This window comes from Homo sapiens, chromosome 18, assembly GCF_000001405.40.
Source record: "Homo sapiens chromosome 18, GRCh38.p14 Primary Assembly".
NCBI classification, from domain to species: Eukaryota; Metazoa; Chordata; class Mammalia; order Primates; family Hominidae; genus Homo; species Homo sapiens.
The window spans coordinates 62,910,842-62,933,341 of record NC_000018.10 but is presented as its reverse complement, the minus strand read 5'-3'; the positions used below and the strand labels follow the sequence as shown (position 1 = coordinate 62,933,341).

The window sequence follows — 22,500 nt, the reverse complement described above, 5'->3', positions numbered from 1 at the left end:
TGTGATGCCTAAGACTTTGTTCTTTTTGCTTAGGATTGTTTTGGCTATTTGGCTCTTTTGTGTTTCCACATGAATTTTATAATTTTTTTCTAATTTCATGAAAAATGACATTGGTAGTTTGATAGGAATTACATTGAATCTGTAGACTGTTTGGGCAGTATAACCATTTAAATGATACTGATTCTTCCAATCCACGAGCATGGAATGTTTTTCCACTTGTTTGTGTCATCTCTGATTTCTTTCATCAGTGTCTTATAGTTCTCCTTCTAGAGATCTTTCACCTCCTCGGATAAATGTATTCCTAGGTATTTTATTTCATTTTTTTGCTATTGTAAATGGGATTGTATTCTTGATTTGGTTCTCAGCTTGAAAGTTACTGGTGTATAGGAATGCTACTGATTTCGGGTGCTGATTCTGAATCCTGAAACTTTACTGAAGTTGTTTATCAAGTCTGAGAGTCTTTTGGAGGAACTTTTAGGGTTTTCTAGGTATAGAATCGTATCATCAACGAACGGATAATTTGATTTCCTCTTTTCCTATTTGGATGACCTTTATTCTTTCTCTTGCCTGACTGCTCTGGCTAGGACTTTTAGTACTATGTTCAATAGGAGTGGTGAGAGTAGGCATACTTGTCTTGTTCCAGTGTTAGGGGGAACACTTTCAACTTTTGCCCATTCAGTATGATGTTGGCTGTGGGTTTGTCATAGATGGCTCTTATTATTTTGAGGTACATTCCGTTGATGCCTAGTTTGTTGAGAGTTTTTATCATGTTGGGATACTGGATTTTAATCAAAGACTTTTTTCACATCTATTGAGATGATACAGATTTTGTTTTTAATTCTGTTTATGTGGTGAATCACATATATTGATTTGTGTTTATTGAACCATCCTTGCATCCCAGGAATAAAGCTTTCTTGAGCATGATGAATTATCTTTTTGATATGCTGCTGAATTCAGCTGGCTACTTATTTGATGAAGATTTTTGTGTCTATGTTCATCAGAGATATTGGCTTGTTATTTTCCTTTTTGTATCCTTGTCAGATTTTGGTATCAGGATGATACTGGTTTCATAGAATGAGTTAGGGAGGAATCCTGCCCCCTCAACTTTTTGGAATAGTTTCAACAAGATTGGTACCAGCCCTTCTTTGTCATGTCTGGTAGAATTCGGATGTGAATTCACCTGCTCCGGGGCTTTCTTTTCCATTGGTAGATTTTTATTATTGACTCAATTTTGTAACTCATTATTGGCCTGTTCAGGATTTTGATTTCTTCCTGGTTCAACCTTGGGAAGCTGTGTGTTTCCAGGGATTTATCCATTTCCTCTAGATTTTCTACTTTGTGTGTGTAGAGATATTTGCAGTACTCTCTGAGGATCTTTTCTGTTTCTGTGCTATCAGCTGTAATCTCATCTCTGTCATTTTCAATTTGTGCTTATTTGGATCTTTTTTTTTTTTTTTTTTTTTCTGTCGCCCAGGCTGGAGTGCAGTGGCGCCATCTCGGCTCACTGTAACCTCCGCCTCCCGGATTCAAGCAGTTCTCCTGCCTCAGCCTCCCTAGTAGCTGGGATTATAGACATGTGCCACCATGCCCAGCTAATTGTTTTGTATTTTTAGTAGAGATGGGGTTTCACCATATTGGCCAGGCTGGTCTCAAACTCTTGACCTTATGATCCACCTGCCTCAGCCTCCCAAAGTGCTGGGATTACAGGCATGAGCCACCGTGCCCGGCCCTTTTTTTTTTTTGTTAATCTAGCGAGTAGTCTATCAATCTTGTTTATCCTTTCAAAGAACCAACTTTTTGTTTCACTGACTCTTTTTTTTTTTTGGTCTCAATTTCATTTAGTTCTCCTCTGATTTTAGTTATTTCTTCTCTTCTGCTAGCTCTGGGTTTAGTGTGTTCTGTTTTTTCTAGTTCCTTTAGGTCCAACAATTAGTTGTTAACTTGAGATTTTTCTGTTTTCTTGATGTAGGCACTTAGTGGTATAAACATTCCCTTTGCTGTATCCCAGAGGCTTTGGTATATTGTGTCTCTATTTTCATTTGTTTTAAAGAATTCCCTCAATTTTGTGTTTATTCCAAAGTCAATCAGAGGACCAAACTGTTTAGTTTCCATGTATTCATTGTTGTTGTTGTTGTTTTTTTTTTTTAGATGGAGTCTCTCTCTGTCACCCAGGCTGGAGTGCAGTGGTGTGATCTTGGCTCACTGCAACCTCTGCCTCCCGGGTTCAAGCAATTCTCCTGCCTCAGCCTCCCAAGTAGCTAGGACTACAGGCACGTGCCACCATTCCCGGCTAATTTTTTTGTATTTTCTTTTTTAGTAGAGATGGGACTTTCACTGTGTTAGCCAGGATGGTCTTGATCTCCTGACCTCGTGAGCCTCCTGCCTCGGCCTCCCAAAGTGCTGTGATTACAGGCATGAGCCACCGCACCCGGCCCTATTTGTGTGGTTTTGAGAGTTTCTCTTGGTATTAATTTCTAGTTTTATTCCACTGTGGTCTGAGAAGATGCTTGACAGGATTTCAATTTTTTGAATTTGTTGAGGCTTGCTTTATGACTGAGCAGGTAGTCAATCTTTGAGAATGTTCTGTGCATAGATAAGAAGAATGTATATTCTGTGGTTGTTGGATAGAGTATTCTAGACATCTATTAGGTCTATTTGGTCAAATGTCAAATTTAAGTCCAGAATTAGTATTCTGCCTTGATAGTCTGTTTAATGAGATACTGAAATCCCCTACTTTTACTGTATCGCTATCTCTTTTCTTAGGTCTGGTATTCGTTTTATAAATCTGGATGCTCTGATGTTGGGTGAGTATGTACATAGGATAATTAAATCTTCTGGTTGAATCGAACCCTTTATTATATAATGCAATTTTTTTTTACTGTTGTTGGTTTAAAGTCTGTTTTATCTGATACAAGAATAGCAACTCCTACTCTTTTGTTTTCTATTTGCATGATCTCTCTCCTTCCCTTTACTTTGAGTCTATAGATGTCATTACATGTGAGATGGGTCTCTTGAAGGCAATAGAAGGTTGGGTTCAAGCACATGTACTGATATATCTGAGTCTCAACTCTGTCATAATTATTTCATATTCATATTTGCCATGTTTCCCTCTCTATAGGATATATATTATGCCTTCTTTAACACATTAATTTTTCTGGTATTTAAGGAAGTTCGTGTTTTTGTTCTATGGTTATCTTTGTACTTATGTCTTATTAAATGACCTTATCCCCTTGGATTTTTATTTAATCATTTCTTATCTGGCTTGCCAGTTTTTGTCAGCATTCTGTAAGTTACACCTATTGCCTAGATGGCAATCGATAAGCTCCTTCTACTTTACTTTTTCCTTTTTCTCTCTTCCCATTTCTAAGCGCATTATTTTTTATTTTGTTTTTAGAGACGGTCTGTCACTCAGGCTAGAGTGCAGTGGTCCAATCATAGCTCACTGCACCCTCAAGTTCCTGGACTCAAGGATTCCTGAGAGGCTCCTGCCTCAGCCTCTCAAGCAGCTGTGACTCTAAGTGTATGTAACCATGCCTGGCTAATTTTAAAAATTCTTTGTAGAGACAGGGTCTTGCTATGTTGCCCAGGCTTGTCTCAAACTCCTAACCTCAAGCTATCCTCCTGCTTTGGCCTCCCAAAGTGCTAGGACAACACGCATGAGCCACCACTCCCAGTCAAGCTGCGTTACTAACAGTTTGTCACCACTTTTTGTATATTAGTCTTCCACCCTCTTTCCCACCTTTCAGTCTCAAATCTACATTTATATATACCAAAATGCTCACTATCATTCCTTTTGCTAAAATATACTAGTTATTTCTTGGTGGGATAAGTTCATCCTCTGGTACATCACGCCCAAACAGCTTTCTGTGTGGACAGAAATGTTCCATGTCTTCACTCTCCAGCATGGTACCCACTATTACATGTGGCTACTGAGCACCTAAAATGTTGACTAATACAATGAATTAACTCTTACATATTTATAAATTACAATTTATTTAAATTACTACTAAAAGCCACTGGATTATATACTTTCTTAAGAGGATGAATTTTATGGTGTGTGTATACCTAAAAAGCTACATGTGACTACAGGCTTTGAATCAGACTTAACAGCTTTAGCAGATTCCTGGAGAAGGGATCATGGGTGCACAGATCTCTAAGTCCTTGAGGTCTTTAAAAAAACAGCTTTATAGGGACGTAATTCACATAATATAAAATATACCCTTTTAAATTGTGTGACTTAGTGATTTTTTAGTTTTTTTCACAAACTTGTGCAACCATCACCACCATATAATTCCACAACAGTTTCATCATTCCATAAAGAAACCCTATACCCATCTGTAGTCACTCATCATTTCTCCCTTCCTCACATCCCCTGGATCTACTTTCTATCTGTATGGATTTGCCAAATCCAAATATTTCATATAAAAAGAATCATACAGCATGTATCCTTTTGTGTCTGGCTTCTTTCACTTAGCATACTGCTTTCAGGGTTTATCCATGTTGCTGCATATACTAGTACCTTTTACTGGTGAATAATATTCCACTATCTATTATAACAGTTTGTTTATCCATTAATCAAGTGGTAGACATTTGAGTTCTACTTTCCAGTTGTTATGAATAATGTTGCTATCAACATTCATATACAAGTTTGGTGTAAACATATATGCTTTCATTTCTCTTGGGTATATACCTAAGAGTAGAACTGCTGGGTAATATTGTGTTTAATTATTTGAGGAACTGACAATCTGTTTTCCAAAGTACTTGCATCACTTTACATTCCTGCCAGCAGTGTACGAGGTTTCAGTTTCTCTCCATTTTGTCCAATATTTGTTACTGTGTTTTTGATTATAGCCACCCTAGTGGGTATAAGTCATATCTGATTGTGGTTTTTGTTTACATTTCCCCAATGGCTAATGATGTTAAGCATCTTTTTATGTGTTTCTTGGCCATTTGTATATTTTCTTTTGAGACATGTCTATTCAAATCCTGTGAGCATATTTTTCATTCAGCTATTTGTCTTCTTTATTGTGAATTGTAAGAGTTCTTTCAAGTTCCCTATCAGATATATTTCTGTGGGTTGCACGTTCACTTTCTTGATGGTATCCTTTGAAGCACACAAGTTTTAAATTTTGATCAAATCCAATTTATCTATTTTTTTAGTTGTTGCTTATGTTTTTGGTGCTTACATGTTTAACAGTTTTCTATAACTTAGATCTTAAAGGAGACTTGGCTTGATATAAAAACCCTGAGTCAATCTTTCATTAAGTTTTTAAAAAACATTACTCCGTTATTACCTTGCATTGTATAATGTTTTTGAGAAGTCTAATGACAATCTAAATATTTGCCTTTTAAAACTATTTTATCTTTTTACTGGTGGTCATAATTATTTATATCTTCAAAATCTAATAGTTTTAATATAATAAGTTTTAAAATGGAACATTCTGGGTTTATTCCAGGTATCCAATCGATACTCTTTTTCACATGTACTTTAAGGTATTTTGTTTGTTGTTGAAAAAATTCCTTGAATGGTATTTTTAAATAATAGTTCTGTCAATTTTTTTTTTGTCTTTGTTCTTCAAGGACACATATACAAATGTTATGCCTTTTGGATCTGTCTTCCATTTCCACTGTTTTATCTCTAACTTTTTCAAATAATTCTTTATCTTATTTTCATCCTCTTCATTTTCCTTTGTTTCTTTAATGTCCCTTATTAATTTTTCGGGTGTATTCTCCCTTGGGCACCCTGTAATTACTCCTCATTTCTCAGATAACTGTCATTTTCTTCCATTTTCTGAGTTCAATCACTTCTTTCCAGCCCTTCCTGTTTGTCCACTTTGTTCTCAGTTCCTTAATTTCTTTGTTTTATATCATAAAATGTTCACTTGACTATATTTAATTTTGCTGGGAATGTTGTCTTATAGTTTTCTTAGGCTTCACAATAGATTTTTTGGGGTACGAACTATTCGACAGTGGACATATGTTGTTTTTTGCTTTCTTATTTTGGGAGCCAATAACCCAATATGGATCTGTTCATCTTTTTCCCAGTCATTTTCAGGGTATCAGGTTGTTTTTACAAGTTTCTTAGTTCGATGCTATATCTTCTATCAGCACAGATAAGTGAAGATACATTAAGGGATCTCTTTGTTTGGACTGAGTAGGGAAGGGCTGTGTGTCCTCTGATGTTCTGGTTCACTTGTCTTGTAGAACCTTTAGTTTTCCCCATTTGCTTCGCTTCCTCTTTACCAATCCAATTGCCAATTTTCCTTCAATTACTGTATTTCTGGCTTGCTATCCCTTCAAGTTGCACTTACTTATACCTAAACTTAGGTGGTAGTGGTAGACCCACCTAAAGCCCCACTACCAGCTTTCCTCTTCTCTCTTCCCCAGTTTTTCTGAATCTGCCGTCGCTTGACACAAAACCTTAGGGTATAGCATGGATACAGTCAAAGTGTAATTGCTGGGAATTGATGCTTATTTCTCTTTTTATTTATAAATTATCCTCTCACTGAATTAAGATGGGGGCTATCACACTTTGGAGCTGCTAAAGGAACAACATTTCTCACAGAAGATGCTCTAGCTCAGTAGGGTGCAATCTGGCTGCACTTCCTAATTCTCTAGGGAGCTTTCCTTAGTGCAGAATTCTCAACTTCAACTCGGAGATATTCTTGTTAAGTAGGTCAGGGTAGGGCCTCAAAATCTATATAGCAGAATTCTGATGGCTGGCAGAGTTGAGAATCATCGTGGTGCAAAAACCCCTGTCCTAATGCATTTTCATGGTTTCTGGGGATACGCACACCCCTCACTGGCAGGGTGGACTCGCCCATCTCATCCATTTTAGGAGCATCAGAGAAACAGGGGCAAAGATGACCAAAGCAGTCTCTCAGAGTACAGGCAGAACTCTTCTGATAATCTACGAAGGGCCTCTTTTCAATCTCAGAGCAATGTTCACAGCTGAACACAGGAATACTTGGAAGCTTCTGGCTAAACCTTTCTGGTTTGTTCTGGTTAAGAAAAATGGAGTTTGCCACCAGAACTCCAACCTTGCTAAGATTACATAATCGGCCACTTTCCAATGCCCCCACTCAACTCCGTTCTCCAGGACTGAGGTAGATTTTTTTGGGAGAAATAGGGGAGAGAAAAGAATGAAAATTCTCTTCCCCTTCATAGTATTCTAAACATCATTGACTGATTCTCTAGTTTTGAAAAAATTGTCAGTTGATTTTGATGTAATAACCCTGGTTAAGAACTATACCTTAAAATATTTGAGGAACACAACACTTTAAAAAGCAGAGAGGGGATGTATATGTTATCTAGAAATATCTCTAGACACATTCAGTTTTTCCATTAAAATCCTTCTTTTATAAAAATCTATTTGTTTCAGCAGTAGTACCTGGGTCACCTTAAGCTTTCAGTGTGTTCAGCAGACCATCTGCACTGGAGTCACTGGGGGAGCCTTGATAAACATACAGTTCCCAGACTATCCCTCTAAAATCGAAGGGAGAAGACCTGAGATAAGAGCCAAGAATCTGCATGTTTGGTAAGTACTCTAGGAAATTCTGAAAACACTTTGAGAAACACTATCTTAGTCCACTGTGACTCTGAAAACATCAGAACTTCACTCTCAAAACATCAGAACTTCACGATACATCAGAATGTCAAAAGATAGCCCTCGTCACTGAAAAAAATAGTTGCCTACAACTCAGATTTTTAAAATGCCAGAAATATCTGTCTTTGCCAAAAGGCACCAGTTGTCATGGTCAATCGATCATGCTCTTCTAAATTTTCTGTTCCCTTTTAGTCCCTTTGATATTTACACATATTCTGAGTCACTGAAACTTATGGCCTGTAATGTGACTAATACTCTGGGAATATTTAATAAGCACACATGAGCAATTACCACAAAGCTCATTTGAACATACACTTCCCCAACTTCTGCCCCTGAAAATACCTTGTACTAGTCCACCCAGGAATAAAAACAGACCTGGCTGCCCTCCCAGAGCAGGGACCTATAACTCCCCTTTAAAGGGTCCATTTTCGGCTTTGTTAATTAGGCTGACTTTAATAGGAAAAGCGGTCTGGCCATCAAATGTGCATGCAGATGCTAGATGGACAGGGAGTCAGCCAATGCCAAGATTTCAGGAAGAAACAGAAGGATGGCAATCCCTCTGGCAATGTCTCATCCACTCCGGTGACCCATGGAGAATGTCTACCCTCCTTGCACCCATCTGTTGATGACAACTAATTATCTGAAACTCTTTTGGGGTTTCCATCAGGAAAATCCTCAACTCTAATTAAAAAGACAGGTAAATGAGAAATCTAGGCCCATGATCTAGATTAGAATATCTTCCTCAAGTATTTAGAGGAAGATGAAGATAACTAAAAGTTGTCTAATGTAACATAGATTCCCCTGTTTGTTATTTGGTTACCAAATAGCTTCCTGCTACCAGGTATAGCAGATTAATATATACTATTCTAAAGTTGTAATACCTTTTTTTCATTTTTTGAGACACGGTCACACTCTGTAACCCAGGCTGGAGTGTAGGTGGCGTGATCAGAGCTCACGGCAGCCTCGAACTCCTAGGCTCAAGGGATCCTCCCACCTCAGCCTTCCAAGTCCAGAGGTGTGTGCCACCACACCTGACTTTTTTTTTTTTTTTTTTTTTTTCAATTTGTAGTGACAGGGTCTTGCCATGTTGCCCAGGCTGGTCTCAAACTCCTAGGCTCAAGCAATCCTCCCGTGTTGGCCTCCCAAAGTTCTGGGATTATAGGTGTCAGCCACTGTGTCTGGCCCTGTAATACTTAACAGACAGTATCACGTAATTAAAACTATGAGACTGGCTTTAGCAGGCAAAATTCAGAGCAAAGGAAAACTCTCATGAGTCAAAATATGGTCTTCTGCTCTGTGTCCAACAACACATGCTTCTCTGATATTTCTCTTGACACTTGGTAGTGCAAGTTCTACTTCAGAACACGAACCACTGAAACATATAAAGCCCTTTCCTCAGTTATATAACGAAACACAGAACTGTAACCATAATTTATTATCACAAAAAAATATAAAAAAGGAATTTCCATATTTTTAAGATTTGTATTAAGTAGCAAACTGAATGGAAGGGCAACTGAAGCAAAGTCTCACCAATGCCTGCAGCTATTTGCCAAACACACAGCTTTGTATCATCCAACAACAAAATGTTGCTCATTATACCATGAGCCTAAATTATACTAGACCAACCGTGTAATTTTCCGTCTATTCTACCTTCTTAAACCTACCTTTCACTATAGTTTATTGTGCAGTTAGTTTAAACTCTTCATTCGATTGTAAGCTTCTTGAGGATAATTCCTATGTTTAGTCATTTCTCAATGTCCTATGCATCCAGCACAGTGATTTAAACTCATTGAGATGTCTGCTACATTGAACCATGTGAACAAAAACAAATCACAACTGAAACCACCTGCAAGAAGCCAGTCACAAAGAATCTTTCCTAAAAACTGTCTTTAATATTTTAAATTTCATGTTTTCCGGGTTGGCCTACTTCAACAACTGTCAGTACTAGTTTATTCATTTCCCCCTCAAACTCATCAAACCAAATACACGATATTTGTCAATTTTCCTGAGTTTAAATTATGCCTCAATAAAAAAAAGTAATAAAATTTTTAAAAATAGGTAGGTAAAAATTTCCATTATTGAGGTTGTGCAAAGAGGCTAAGTATTAACCTTTAAAGGCAATAATTTGGTGGAAATCATTAGAAAATATGATTTTTCTTATCTTCTAACAAGTGAACTAATACAAAAATAGGTTTAAAAAAACAGCTAATCAAATTTATCCCACCCCCTTCACATAATCCTGTCTGCCCAAGATAATTAACAATCTTAACTTTTCTCTCTGATTCTACTATATCAGTTGCTATGCTATGCTGGAGATGTAGCAATTACAGCTTGGAAAACAAAGGTGCAGGAGTATGTCTTCTTGAAAAAGTTTCTTATTTCTCCCATTTTTTGGTCATTTGTTTTACTCTCATAAAATAAAACAAAGATATTTGCCCCTTCTCATTCCCCCAACCCTTTACTCCAGAACTCTCCTGTGCCAGAAATGCATTTATCCTGCCCTGTCCTCCCCTCGCAGCCTCCAAAGGCTGGCAAATTGTCCCCCACGGTCCCTGTTTTCAAAAATGCAGCTGGCTGTAGACAGGTCAGTCTATTTGTATGGGGATTTCTGCCTAAATGCCTTTAGCTAACACTGCTGGCCTAGCTTATGATAGCAGTGTCCTTCCACTGGCTCAGTTCACATCTTTGTTCAGTTCACATTCACGTTCCAGTTCACACAATCCTTCCTTTTCCAACATACAGGTACCGTTTGGGAATTGCACAAATAAGCAAAATGAGAAAACCCAGGTTTAGAATGACCTGCACAGAATTACAAAGCCAACAATGAAGGCAGTGGTTCTCAATCCTGGGAGTCACCACAATCCCCTAAAACTACAACTGTTCTTACTTAAATCCTTGTCCAAACACATCTAAACATGAAAATACAGTCTCCAGAGAATGAAATACAGAAACGTCCTTGTAAAATCAAATTCTCAGGAATGAATAAAGAATGATTATTATCTATTGGAAATTCTAGCACTGATAACCTCTAATAGTTGTGAACTTACCAGAATTGGCCAGATTCAGAAATGGTTTTTATTTCATTCAGGCTCCTAAAACCTAAATCCATTCCTTTATTTGGTTCTACAGATTCAGCGTAGAACTCTAGGGGAACAAGTGGATTCTCATTATGATATAACTTATAATTCTCCATAGGAGAAGAAATCAAATTTTATAGTATTCACAACCAAAAAGCATATGTCTAAAGTGATCTGTCTCTGCACACTGTGCTTTGATATTAACGTAAAAACAAGAATTCTAGCCTGGTGCGGTGGCTCATGCCTGTAACCCCAGCACTTTGGGAGGCCAAGGCGGGTGGATCACTTGAGATCAGAAGTTTAAGACCAGCCTGGTCAACATGGGGAAACCCCATCTCTACTAAAATTACAAAAATTAGCTGGAAGTGGTGGCATGCGCCTGTAATCCCGGCTATTTGGGAGGCTGAGGGAAGAGAATCACTTGAACCCAGGAGGTGGAGGTTGCAATGAGCTGAGATCACACCACTGCACTCCAAGCCTGGGCCACAAAGCTAGACTCCGTCTCCAAAACAAACAAACAAACAAACAAACAAACAAACAAAAAACCCAAAACCAAAAAACAAGAATTCTTTCAATGATCTTGAAACATTTCACTTTTTACCAGGAGGATGACACAGTACTGGCCAATTACAATATGACAATCCCATTTTCTCATAGTTCTATTGTTTCTTTATAATTATTCCAGTTGGAATTCATTATAACTTACATGAGTACACTGAAAATAATTTTCTTTTTAAGTGAGGAAAACAGAACGAAAGGAAAAAGAAGAGTGCTAGAAATGTTCTATATCTTGTTCTGGGTAAGGTGGTCCTTGCAACCATTTCCATAAATATGTAAAAATTCATTGAGCAGTAGGCTTAAAAGTTGGACACTTTACTGAATGTAAGTCATATTTTTGTAGTAAGATTTTTTTACTCTTATTAAAGATTTATGGAAAAGATGAGGAAGAAAAAAATATAAAGCCAGGAATGAAGGTAGTATTTGAAATTCCTTAAATTCTCTATCATTTATTACACAAATATTTTTTGAGCACTTTCCTTTATTCCAGACACAGTGTAAGATGTTGATGATAAAACTATAATTAAGACACAGTCACTGGCCACATGGTGTTAGTAATCTAATAATGGAGAGAGACAAGTGAACAAGAAATTACAATACAGTGTGTGATGAGTATTACAGCAGGAGTAAGCTCAGGGAGTTAGGAACATGCAGTGGGAAATCTAATTCGGCTTAGGAGAGACAGAGATCGCAGACGGCCATTTCACCCACATAATATGACACATGCTGAAACATAGCTAACATTTATTTTGTAAGGTAAAAAGATCTGTCATCATTTCCTTCTCTTCTCTGCACTTCTAGAAGCAAAATTAAATTTAACGTTTTTGTCTTCATTATGAGATACACTAAAAGTTAGATCCTTCATATTGTCTCTAAAGTAATGGTCACTCCCTAAAAATAAACATGGGAGCAGAAGTCAAAATAACTCAGGTTATGAAACACTTGAGAATGATGCACATGGGTTCTGAAGCAAACAAGATGCTCCAAAGTAAGTTAACAGCCACTGTTACTTAAAGCTTTCTTTAAAGAAAATTCTGTATGTGGCAACTTATCACAACAAAATAACAGAGCTTCATTTAATGTTGAAATTAACCTCTCCCTCCCATTCAAAACAACTTCAAATGCTTAGTGTATGATACAAGTAATTTAGGAAAATTTTGTTTGTTCAAAACAAAATAATTGAATTGAATGTGGAATTAATTATGATAAAGATAAGAAGGACTGTTTAAAAAACAATAAGTCCTAGGCGTGGTGGCTCATACCTATAATCCCAGTATTTTGGGAGGCCAAGGTGGGTGGATCACTTGAGCCCAGGAGTTCGAAACCAGCCTGGCCAACATGGCAAAACCCCACCTCTACTAAAAATACAAAAAATTAGCTGGGCGTGGTGGCACATGCCTGTAGTTCCAGCTACTTGGGAGGCTGAGGCAGGAGAATCGCTTGAACCTGGGAGGCAGAGGTTCCAGTGAGCCGAGATCACACCACTGCACTCCAGCGTAGGCGACAGAGTGCGACTCTGTCTCAAAAGATCAAAAAACAAAAAACACCACCAACAACAAAAAACAATAACAACTAAGCTAACTCTGGGACAATTCATCTCCATCTCCCAAAGTCCCAAACATGTGAAAGCGGGAACAGAGAATCATAAGATAATTAAGCTAAGCCTGGCATGGGATGTGACCAGGTAGTAACAGAGCAGCACACTTCTCATCCTTGTTTTACACCTACATCCCCATGACACATGTTTATGGACAATGTAACCTACTTTGCTCCAGAGAGCAGCAAAGTTAATAAAGAATCTATAGGTTGCTCCTGACTCCATCGCCTACAAAATGGTCAGTAAAGTGGCTGGCAAAACTATTTCCTTCACAAATCTGGGACAGATACATACTCAGAAAGTTTATACAGTCTCAGGTCACGAAAGACAAAGATACAAATGAGGGAATATTTATAGACTCAGATGATAAACAAGACAAATGGCTTTACCTGTCAGCCTTCATCAGAAGGTTAGGTGGGAGCTCAAGGAGCTGGTTGTGTTGCACATCCAAGACCTCCACCGAGGTTCTTTCTAGCCTTTCAGGCAGCCTTGCCAACTGGTTGTGTCCTGCCAGTAGTTTCCGGAGACTGCTATTACAAAATAAGCTGTATAAAAAGGGACAAAAGACCAAAAAATGAAAAAGAGTAAAGAATACTTAAAATTACCTCTCCAAAAATCACAAATTCACTTGGAGCAACTACAAATTCATTTTAATATAAATTCAAACTTGAAACTATTTGTTTCAATACTTTCTATATACTCAAAAAAAGGAGGAAGGAAAAAACTATGTAAACAAATATTGAGCAAAGAAGCTCTACATAGCAAAAAACAAGTTCTATAGATGTACGCACTGAAGAGATCAGTCTAATCTTGTTAGGGTCACAAGGCAAGCTTTCAAAGGCTGCATGCTTCTCCAGAGTAGGGCTTGTATCTTGTATTGTCCCAGAATGCTGGGTGCTTTACCCATAAGAGATTCTGAGTAAACACAACTGAGCAGTCTTTACCTACAGGATCTGCATTAAATAAAGGGTTCTTCAATCAAACTTTTACAAATGTCCACTGAGAAAATGTTATGTTTTTCCTCAGTTGCATTTATTTCACAATCCTAATTATTTCTTCTTTGCCTCACTTCCCTGGCTGTATGTCTGTTTTTTCTAGCTTAATCCTAGACCAAGGTAGAGACTGTCTCCCGAAAGAGCAGCATGTACTTAATCCACTGTTTTCTTGAGAGACTTAAAGAGCTGTTTGGAAGCTTGGCTGTGTTTCTTGTAAAGGTCACCAGAACTGTCAGAGATGATGAATACTTGTTAATCTAATGTAAATCTACATTATGACCACTTCAGACTTCTCCAACATTACAGAGAAAACAGGCCCTGGGTTTAAACAGACATCTGGGGGGTGGGGAAAAGTGAGGTTACAATTTGCATCCTGATCACTTTAGATCAAGAATTAATTTATCAATCTGCCTAATTAATAAATTAATTTATTAATCTGCTGTCAAAGAATGAGGCTTCCTCATCCACCTCCTGTTTTCCACCATTCTGATCTCACTCACAAATGCCCACAATTTTTTAAAGTTAATTTTTAATTAACACAAATTAGCATATATTTATGGTGTAAAACATGTTTTAATATACGTATACATTGTGGGATGGCTAAATCAAGCTAATTATCATATGCATTACCTCACATATTTATCTTTTTTTTTTTGTGATGAGAACATTTATATCTACTCCCTTAGCTATTTTCAAGAATACAAGACATTGTTATTAACTGTAGTTACAATGCTGCGCAATAGGTCTCTTGAACTTACTCTTCCTGTCTAATCCAAATTTTGTATCCTTCAATCCACAAGAGTTAAAAATCTCCATAACATTAGGGAATAACTTTATTCACTTTAAATAGCAAATGGAGTTTCTTTGCTCACAAAGATGCTAGCAACCTGTCTCAACCCTGTGACACCACAGGCCCCAATTAAAGATCCCTGAGTTGGCAGGTTTAGCTATCAGTGTGACAAGACAGATTATCCAGGCCAGATTATCTATGCAGTTACCATTACCACAGGGCAGTCTCTGTAATGGTCACTCCAGCCTATTAGCTCAGCATGTGGTTCATCATATATATATATATATATTTATCCTTTACCACATAAATAACTAAAAGGTGATAAAATCTTTTATCTTTATTTTTCCAAATAAAAAAGATCAACTATAGGACGAATACTGAATGCTAATTATTGGGTTTAGTTCAATTCTTTTGGGTACTGTCTAAACATTAAAATACTTTCTTTCCTTTTCAATACATTTCCGCCTCTAATAATTTCTCTTTTGTCAAACTCTTTTTTTTTTTTTTTTTTTTGAGACAGAGTCTCACTCTGTCGCCCAGGCTGGAGTGCAATGGCGCAATCTTGGCTCACTGCAACCTCCGCCTCCTGGGTTCAAGTGATTCTCCTGCCTCAGCCTCCAGAGTAGCTGGGACTACAGGCGTGCACCACCATGCCTAGCTAATTTTCATATTTTTTAGTAGAGACGGGGTTTCACCATGTTGGTCAGGCTGGTCTTGAACTCCTGACCTCAGTTGATCCGCCTGCCTCGGCCTCCCCATGTGCTGGGATTACAGGCATGAGCCACTGTGCCTGGCCCTGTCAAACTCTTTATATACCTTACTTGGATAGACAAAGTATGAGTATTAAATCAATTTTAATGAATCATTGCCTTGCCTGAATTTTTTTTTTTCTTTTTCTTTTTAAGAGGCAGGGTCTCAGCTCCGTTGCCCAGGCTGGAGTGCAGTGATGCAATCATAGGTCACTGTAACCTCAACCTCCTAGGCTCAAGCAATCCTCCTGCCTCAAGCCTTCCAAGTAGCTGGGACTACAGGCACACGCCACCATATCTAGCTAATTTTATTTTTTGCAGAGATAGGTTCTTGCAGTGTTGCCCAGGCTGGTCTTGAACTCCTGGGCTCAAGCAATCTTCCTGCCTTGGCCTCCCAGCGTGCTGAGACTACAGGCAAGAGCCACGGTGCCCAGCCTTGCCTATTACATCAACAACAGGGCTCACACAGAGTTTGCAATTGAACAACACTATAAACAGAAAAACAATGCATACTCTTTTTGTCCCACATGTTAAACACACACACACACACACACACACACACACACACACACAAAGAATACTGTTTAAATTCTTTAACAATAGAGCATTTGGGATTTGCATTGAATAAGCATTTGTTTAGATTCTCAAAAAGCCTGTTCTGATACAGAACAAATTAAAGATCAACAAATTTGGGAGGAAAATTGGATAAAATGTCAGTTATCTTGAATTTGTTTGTTTATATATATAAATATATAATATATAAATATATAATATGTTAATGTATAATATATACAAATATAAAAAATATATAAAATATATCTTTGTAGCCTTCAGCAAAACAGAGAACTTGGATGCCAATGTGCTATCTGTGGGATTGAGGGGTGGAGGTGGGAAAGAGAACAGAGAAAATAGAAAAGGCTAGGTGTGGTGGCTCATGGCTATAATCCCAGCACTTTGGGAGGCTGAGGCAGGCGGATCACCTGAGGTCAGGAGTTCAAGAACAGCCTGGTCAACATAGTGAAACCCCGTCTCTACTAAAAATACAAAAATTAGCTGGGCATGGTGGTGCGTACCTGTAGTCCCAGCTACTCGGGAGGCTGAGGCACGAGAATTGCTGGAACCCGGGAGGCAGAGGTTGCAGTGAGCCAAGATCGCACCACTGCATTGCAGCCTGGGCAACAGACTGAGACTCTGTCTCAAAAAAAAAAAAAAAAAAAAAAAAGAATAGAAGGAAAGAAAATAGAAGAAAAGATAAGGTAAAAAATTTTTTTCAACGAATTATTTTTTTCCCTACTGTTTTCATTTTTCCTGTTCCTCTACTAAAAGGGTCATGCATGGACACACACACACACACACACACACACCCACCCTCTTGTTAATGGTGATGGCTGCAATGGGTCACTTGAATGCTCAGTCAACATAATATTCTAGGGCAGAAAGCACTTTCAAATGGATCGTATTTACAGGTAAAATGTATTGCTGCAGAACATAATGAAATTAACAGAGCTTTTCAGGGATGAAAATATAACTCAGATTTCTTTAATAAGAGCTACATTCTAACACAGTGTTATCAAATATAAGCCACATGTAATTTTAAATTATCTAGTAGCCACATTAAAAGAAAGAATAAAAGAACAAGTAAATGAATTCTCAGAGTATTATTTCATTTAACCCAGAATATACCCCAAATATTAACATGTAATTAATGTACACTATTATTAATATTTTATATTCCATGTACATTTTACACTTATAGCACTTCTCAATTAGGACTAGTCACATTTCAGGTGCTCAACAGTCACTTGGCTAATGGCTGGCTGGGGGCTACCATACTGGACAGCTCAACTCTAACATGTTTACTAGGCTTACCAAGCAAGTATATCTTCTGGGTAAGGAAACAGGAATGGTGATCACATACCTTTAAAGATTGTGCACTAAAGTAAAAGTTTACTCCAAAATGGTGACATACTTCTATAATATTTTCACTGATGTTTCTGACTACACATAGCTAAAAATAACTGACTTCCTCTGTTCAGTGACTGGCTGAGAATGGTGGAAATAATAAGACCTGGGTTGAGGCAGCCACAAGTAACTATATGAATTTGTTAATTGGAATTAATGGATACACAAAATTCAGTTCCTCAGTCACATTAGCCACATTGCAAGTGCTCAATAGCCACAGACGGCCAGTGGATACCATACTGGCCAGCACAGATGCAGAGCACTTCAATCATCACAGAAAGTTCTACAGGACAGCACTGGATAGACTCTTGGTTACTAACTGCATGGCTAGTCACTAAAAGTCCACTAATATTTTGGACCATGATTAGTCAACTTGAAAATATCTGTCTGTATTTACAGACAATAGAAGTCATCGCGTGGCTGTTTTGCAAATCCTGCCATTGAAGTGAAAATTATAAAATAAAAATAAGAACATATTTAAGAGAGAGAAGGAAAGAGAAGTTCTTGAACCTTCTACTCCCAAATTTCACAACAAGAAAAAGAGAATCTAGTTTGCTCTTTCTAGGTTTCATGACCTAACCATCTTTTTCCCCCGTCAAAGTTAAAGTCTAGGGAGAACAAAAGGTATTTATGGTTAAAGTAGACATGTTAAGTCAATGAACAGAGGTGGAAGATTCTGAAAGACTTAAGATTCCAGAAGTGGGCCAATCATATTGTTTGCTTCAAAGATTGTTTTTGGCTTACTTAAAAATTTCCACCAAGCACCACTGCCTGCATGGTTTTGAAAAGTCTGGCTGACAGTCAAAGCCTCACTCTACTCCTCACTGCACTGCATGAAGCAAGTGTGTAACTTGAAGACACCACATGGGGTAAAAGACACCATATTAGTTTTTAAAGCAAACTCTTTTAGGCTTATGATACCAAGTTAAACACTGAATCAGCAATTTTTAAAATTGCTCATTTATTGTGAGATCCTCTCATTTGATCTGTAATACTCACCGGGCAGGAAGTTCACATATTTGATTATGGCCAATATCCAAAACTTCTAGCTTTCGGCTTTCACATACCCACTCAGGCACATTTTCTAAGCGGTTCCTAAATGCAAGAACATAAAAGTAATTGGTTGAATTTGTCCTCAAATGTGGTTCTAAACTCAAATTGATTACAAAGAATAAATAAAACCTCAAATAAAATACCAAAGTACCAAGGGCATAAATCGAAAGAATGTGTGGATTCGCTTTTCTCTAGAAGCAAGATGAATTGTGATAGGGAGAAGAAATAAAGAAAAAGTAAGGAAGAGGCAGAGCACAGTGGCTCACGCCTATGGGAGGATCACTTGTGCCCAAGAGTTCGAGATCAGCCTGGGCAACAAAGCGAGACTCCATTTCTACAAAACATAAAAAATTAGTTGCTCATGGTGGCATGCACCTATAGTCCCAGCTACTCAAAAGGGTACAGTGGGAGGACTGCTGGAGTAGAGGAGTTCGAGGTTTACAAGTGAGCTATGATCTCATCACTGCACTCCAACCTGGGTGACAGCATGAGACCCTATCTTTAGGTTAAATTAAACTTTTAAAAAGAAGGAAGGACATAGTTACATAGTCTGTATCATCTCTAAAGTCTAAAAAAACAGTCTAGCTCCAAATTTACTTTCCTAAAGGGTCTATAGACCTATGCCAAGTTCAGGGAGAATATGTGTTATATTGAACATAAAAACACACGAAGTCAATGGCATATCATAGTTTTATTTTCAAATTTGTATTTTTACACTTAATATTAAAATATTTCCCAACTCCAGCTGTCATCATGAAAACACAGCCATGGACAAATGGGAAGGGAGAGAAACAGTTTTAAAATGGTGGCAGTGAAAAGTTCACTGACAGTTAAGACTCAGAATTAATTATTTAAAAACATTTACTTGGGCACTAGATGGTAATTACAGTTACTATAAAAAAGAGAACTAGGCCAGGCATGGTAGCTCATGCTTGTAATCCCGGCACTTTGGGAGGCCCAGGCTGCAGATCACCGGAGGTCAGGAGTTTGACACAAGCCTGACTAACATGGTGAAACCCTGTCTCTACTAAAAAAATACAAAAATTAGCCGGGTGTGGTGGCACATGGCTATAATCCCAGCTACTCAGGAGGCTGAGGCACGAGAATCGTTTGAACCCGGGAGGCGGAGGTTGCCGTGAGCCAAGATCACACCATTGCACTCCAGACTGGGCAACAAGAGCGAAACTCTGTCTCAAAAAAAAAAAAAAAAAAAAAGAGAGAGAGAGAACTAAACTAATGGTGTCTTTAACTATTAAATGAATTGATCATTACTTAGATAAACTACTCTATTTGAATGTGTCCCTAGTCACACTGGTTAGCTTTTTACTTTCTTTTTAAAATACATAAAATGATCAGGCACAAAGAATTTCAAACAGTACGTACATTATGACAATTCTTTATACACAGATGAGTAATTCTGTGAAAACATGATGCTTGGGATAAGAATTATAAGATATTACAGCAAAAGGAAAAATAATTTTGATGTTAGGGTGGTGGAATTATGCACTATTTATGTTCTTTAATTTTGCAATTATATCTACTCCTCAATTAAAATACAGAAATAGAAGGAATTATTTTCTGCTTAGTGTCTGTATAAGCACATACAGTTCTGGATTTGAAGCCCTAAACATTGACATGCTCATTTTTTTTTTTAATTGTTAATATCTAAAACATCTCAACAGGATAGGGGATTGAAAGTATTCTTTAGTAAAAACAACCCCAACATACAAAAATTAAAACTTCTGTAAGTGATAAAATAACTTAGAACTTTGCATGGAGGAACCTGACCTAGTAAACACTGTGATAGGTGACAGCACGGGAGGTGGATGAGGTAGTGTGTTATAGTGAAGATTCTGGGCATGAGAGTGGCCACAGGAAGATGAATTATCATTTAAGAGGCAGAATTCAGAGACAAGCATGACACAAGAGTTTCCAATTCAGTCTCACTTAGGGGTTTCAATGGCTACCATTTGCTGATTACACTGTTTTTAAAAAGTAGTTTAACTCTATGACTAATTCTTGAAAATACATCTGGGCCGGGCATGGTGGTTCATGCCTATAATCCCAGCCCTTTGGGAGGCCAAGGCGGGTGGATCACTTGAGGTCAGGAGTTCCAGACCAGCCTGGCCAACACGGTGAAACCCCATCTCTACAGAAATACAAGAAAATTAGCCAGGCATGGTGGTGTGTGCCTGTAATCCCAGCTGCTCAGGAGGCTGGAGCAGGAGAATCATTTGAACCCAGGAAGTAGAGGTTGCAGTGAGCCAAGATTGCGCCACTGCACTCCAGCCTAGGCAACAGAGCGAGACTCCATCTCAAAAAAACAAAAAAAGAAAAGAACTGTTCAAGATATTTATATGCATCCATGTACGCAAATCCCATTCCTATACTCTTCCTATACTGCTCTTATTCAAAATGTGAAAATAACATTTGGGGTTGCTGGGGGGTGGGAGGAGTGGGTGGGGAAAGAAAACTAATTAGGTAATGTCTGATTTAAGTTAATTAAATAAAATTATCTGATAGGTAGTAGGAAATGCATGAAGCACTACTCAAAGAGTTTTATGATTTTATAATTATATATTTATAATAAAAAAAAATTTTTTTTTTGATGGATCAGGTTTTTTATTATTTTTTTTTTAATTTTTTTTTTTTATTATACTCTAAGTTTTAGGGTACATGTGCACATTGTGCAGGTTAGTTACATATGTATACATGTCCCATGCTAGTGCGCTGCACCCACTAACGTGTCATCTAGCATTAGGTATATCTCCCAATGCTATCCCTCCCCCCTCCCCCGACCCCACCACAGTCCCCAGAGTGTGATATTCCCCTTCCTGTGTCCAAGTGATCTCATTGTTCAATTCCCACCTATGAGTGAGAATATGCGGTGTTTGGTTTTTTGTTCTTGCGATAGTTTACTGAGAATGATGGTTTCCAATTTCATCCATGTCCCTACAAAGGACATGAACTCATCATTTTTTATGGCTGCATAGTATTCCATGGTGTATATGTGCCACATTTTCTTAATCCAGTCTATCATTGTTGGACATTTGGGTTGGTTCCAAGTCTTTGCTATTGTGAATAGTGCCGCAATAAACATACGTGTGCATGTGTCTTTATAGCAGCATGATTTATAGTCCTTTGGGTATATACCCAGTAATGGGATGGCTGGGTCAAATGGTATTTCTAGTTCTAGATCCCTGAGGAATCACCACACTGACTTCCACAATGGTTGAACTAGTTTACAGTCCCACCAACAGTGTAAAAGTGTTCCTATTTCTCCACATCCTCTCCAGCACCTGTTGTTTCCTGACTTTTTAATGATTGCCATTCTAACTGGTGTGAGATGATATCTCATAGTGGTTTTGATTTGCATTTCTCTGATGGCCAGTGATGATGAGCATTTCTTCATGTGTTTTTTGGCTGCATAAATGTCTTCTTTTGAGAAGTGTCTGTTCATGTCCTTCGCCCACTTTTTGATGGGGTTGTTTGTTTTTTTCTTGTAAATTTGTTTGAGTTCATTGTAGATTCTGGATATTAGCCCTTTGTCAGATGAGTAGGTTGCGAAAATTTTCTCCCATGTTGTAGGTTGCCTGTTCACTCTGATGGTAGTTTCTTTTGCTGTGCAGAAGCTCTTTAGTTTCGTTAGATCCCATTTGTCAATTTTGGCTTTTGTTGCCATTGCTTTTGGTGTTTTGGACATGAAGTCCTTGCCCACGCCTATGTCCTGAATGGTAATGCCTAGGTTTTCTTCTAGGGTTTTTATGGTTTTAGGTCTAACGTTTAAATCTTTAATCCATCTTGAATTGATTTTTGTAAAAGGTGTAAGGAAGGGATCCAGTTTCAGCTTTCTACATATGGCTAGCCAGTTTTCCCAGCACCATTTATTAAATAGGGAATCCTTTCCCCATTGCTTGTTTTTCTCAGGTTTGTCAAAGATCAGATAGTTGTAGATATGTGGCATTATTTCTGAGGGCTCTGTTCTGTTCCATTGATCTATATCTCTGTTTTGGTACCAGTACCATGCTGTTTTGGTTACTGTAGCCTTGTAGTATAGTTTGAAGTCAGGTAGTGTGATGCCTCCAGCTTTGTTCTTTTGGCTTAGGATTGACT

The 22,500-nt window shown here is 37.9% G+C and overlaps 1 protein-coding gene across 1 annotated transcript in view; it reads right to left on the bottom strand.

The window, feature by feature from the left end:
- Positions 1–22,500, bottom strand: part of PHLPP1 (PH domain and leucine rich repeat protein phosphatase 1) — a 264,893-nt gene that overhangs the window by 47,092 nt on the left and 195,301 nt on the right. Inside the window, exons 9-10 of the mRNA NM_194449.4 lie at positions 18,334–18,429; positions 13,228–13,383 (exon numbers count right to left, since the gene is read on the bottom strand). Coding sequence (NP_919431.2) covers positions 13,228–13,383; positions 18,334–18,429 — 252 coding nt within the window. The remainder of the gene's footprint in view (positions 1–13,227; positions 13,384–18,333; positions 18,430–22,500) is intronic.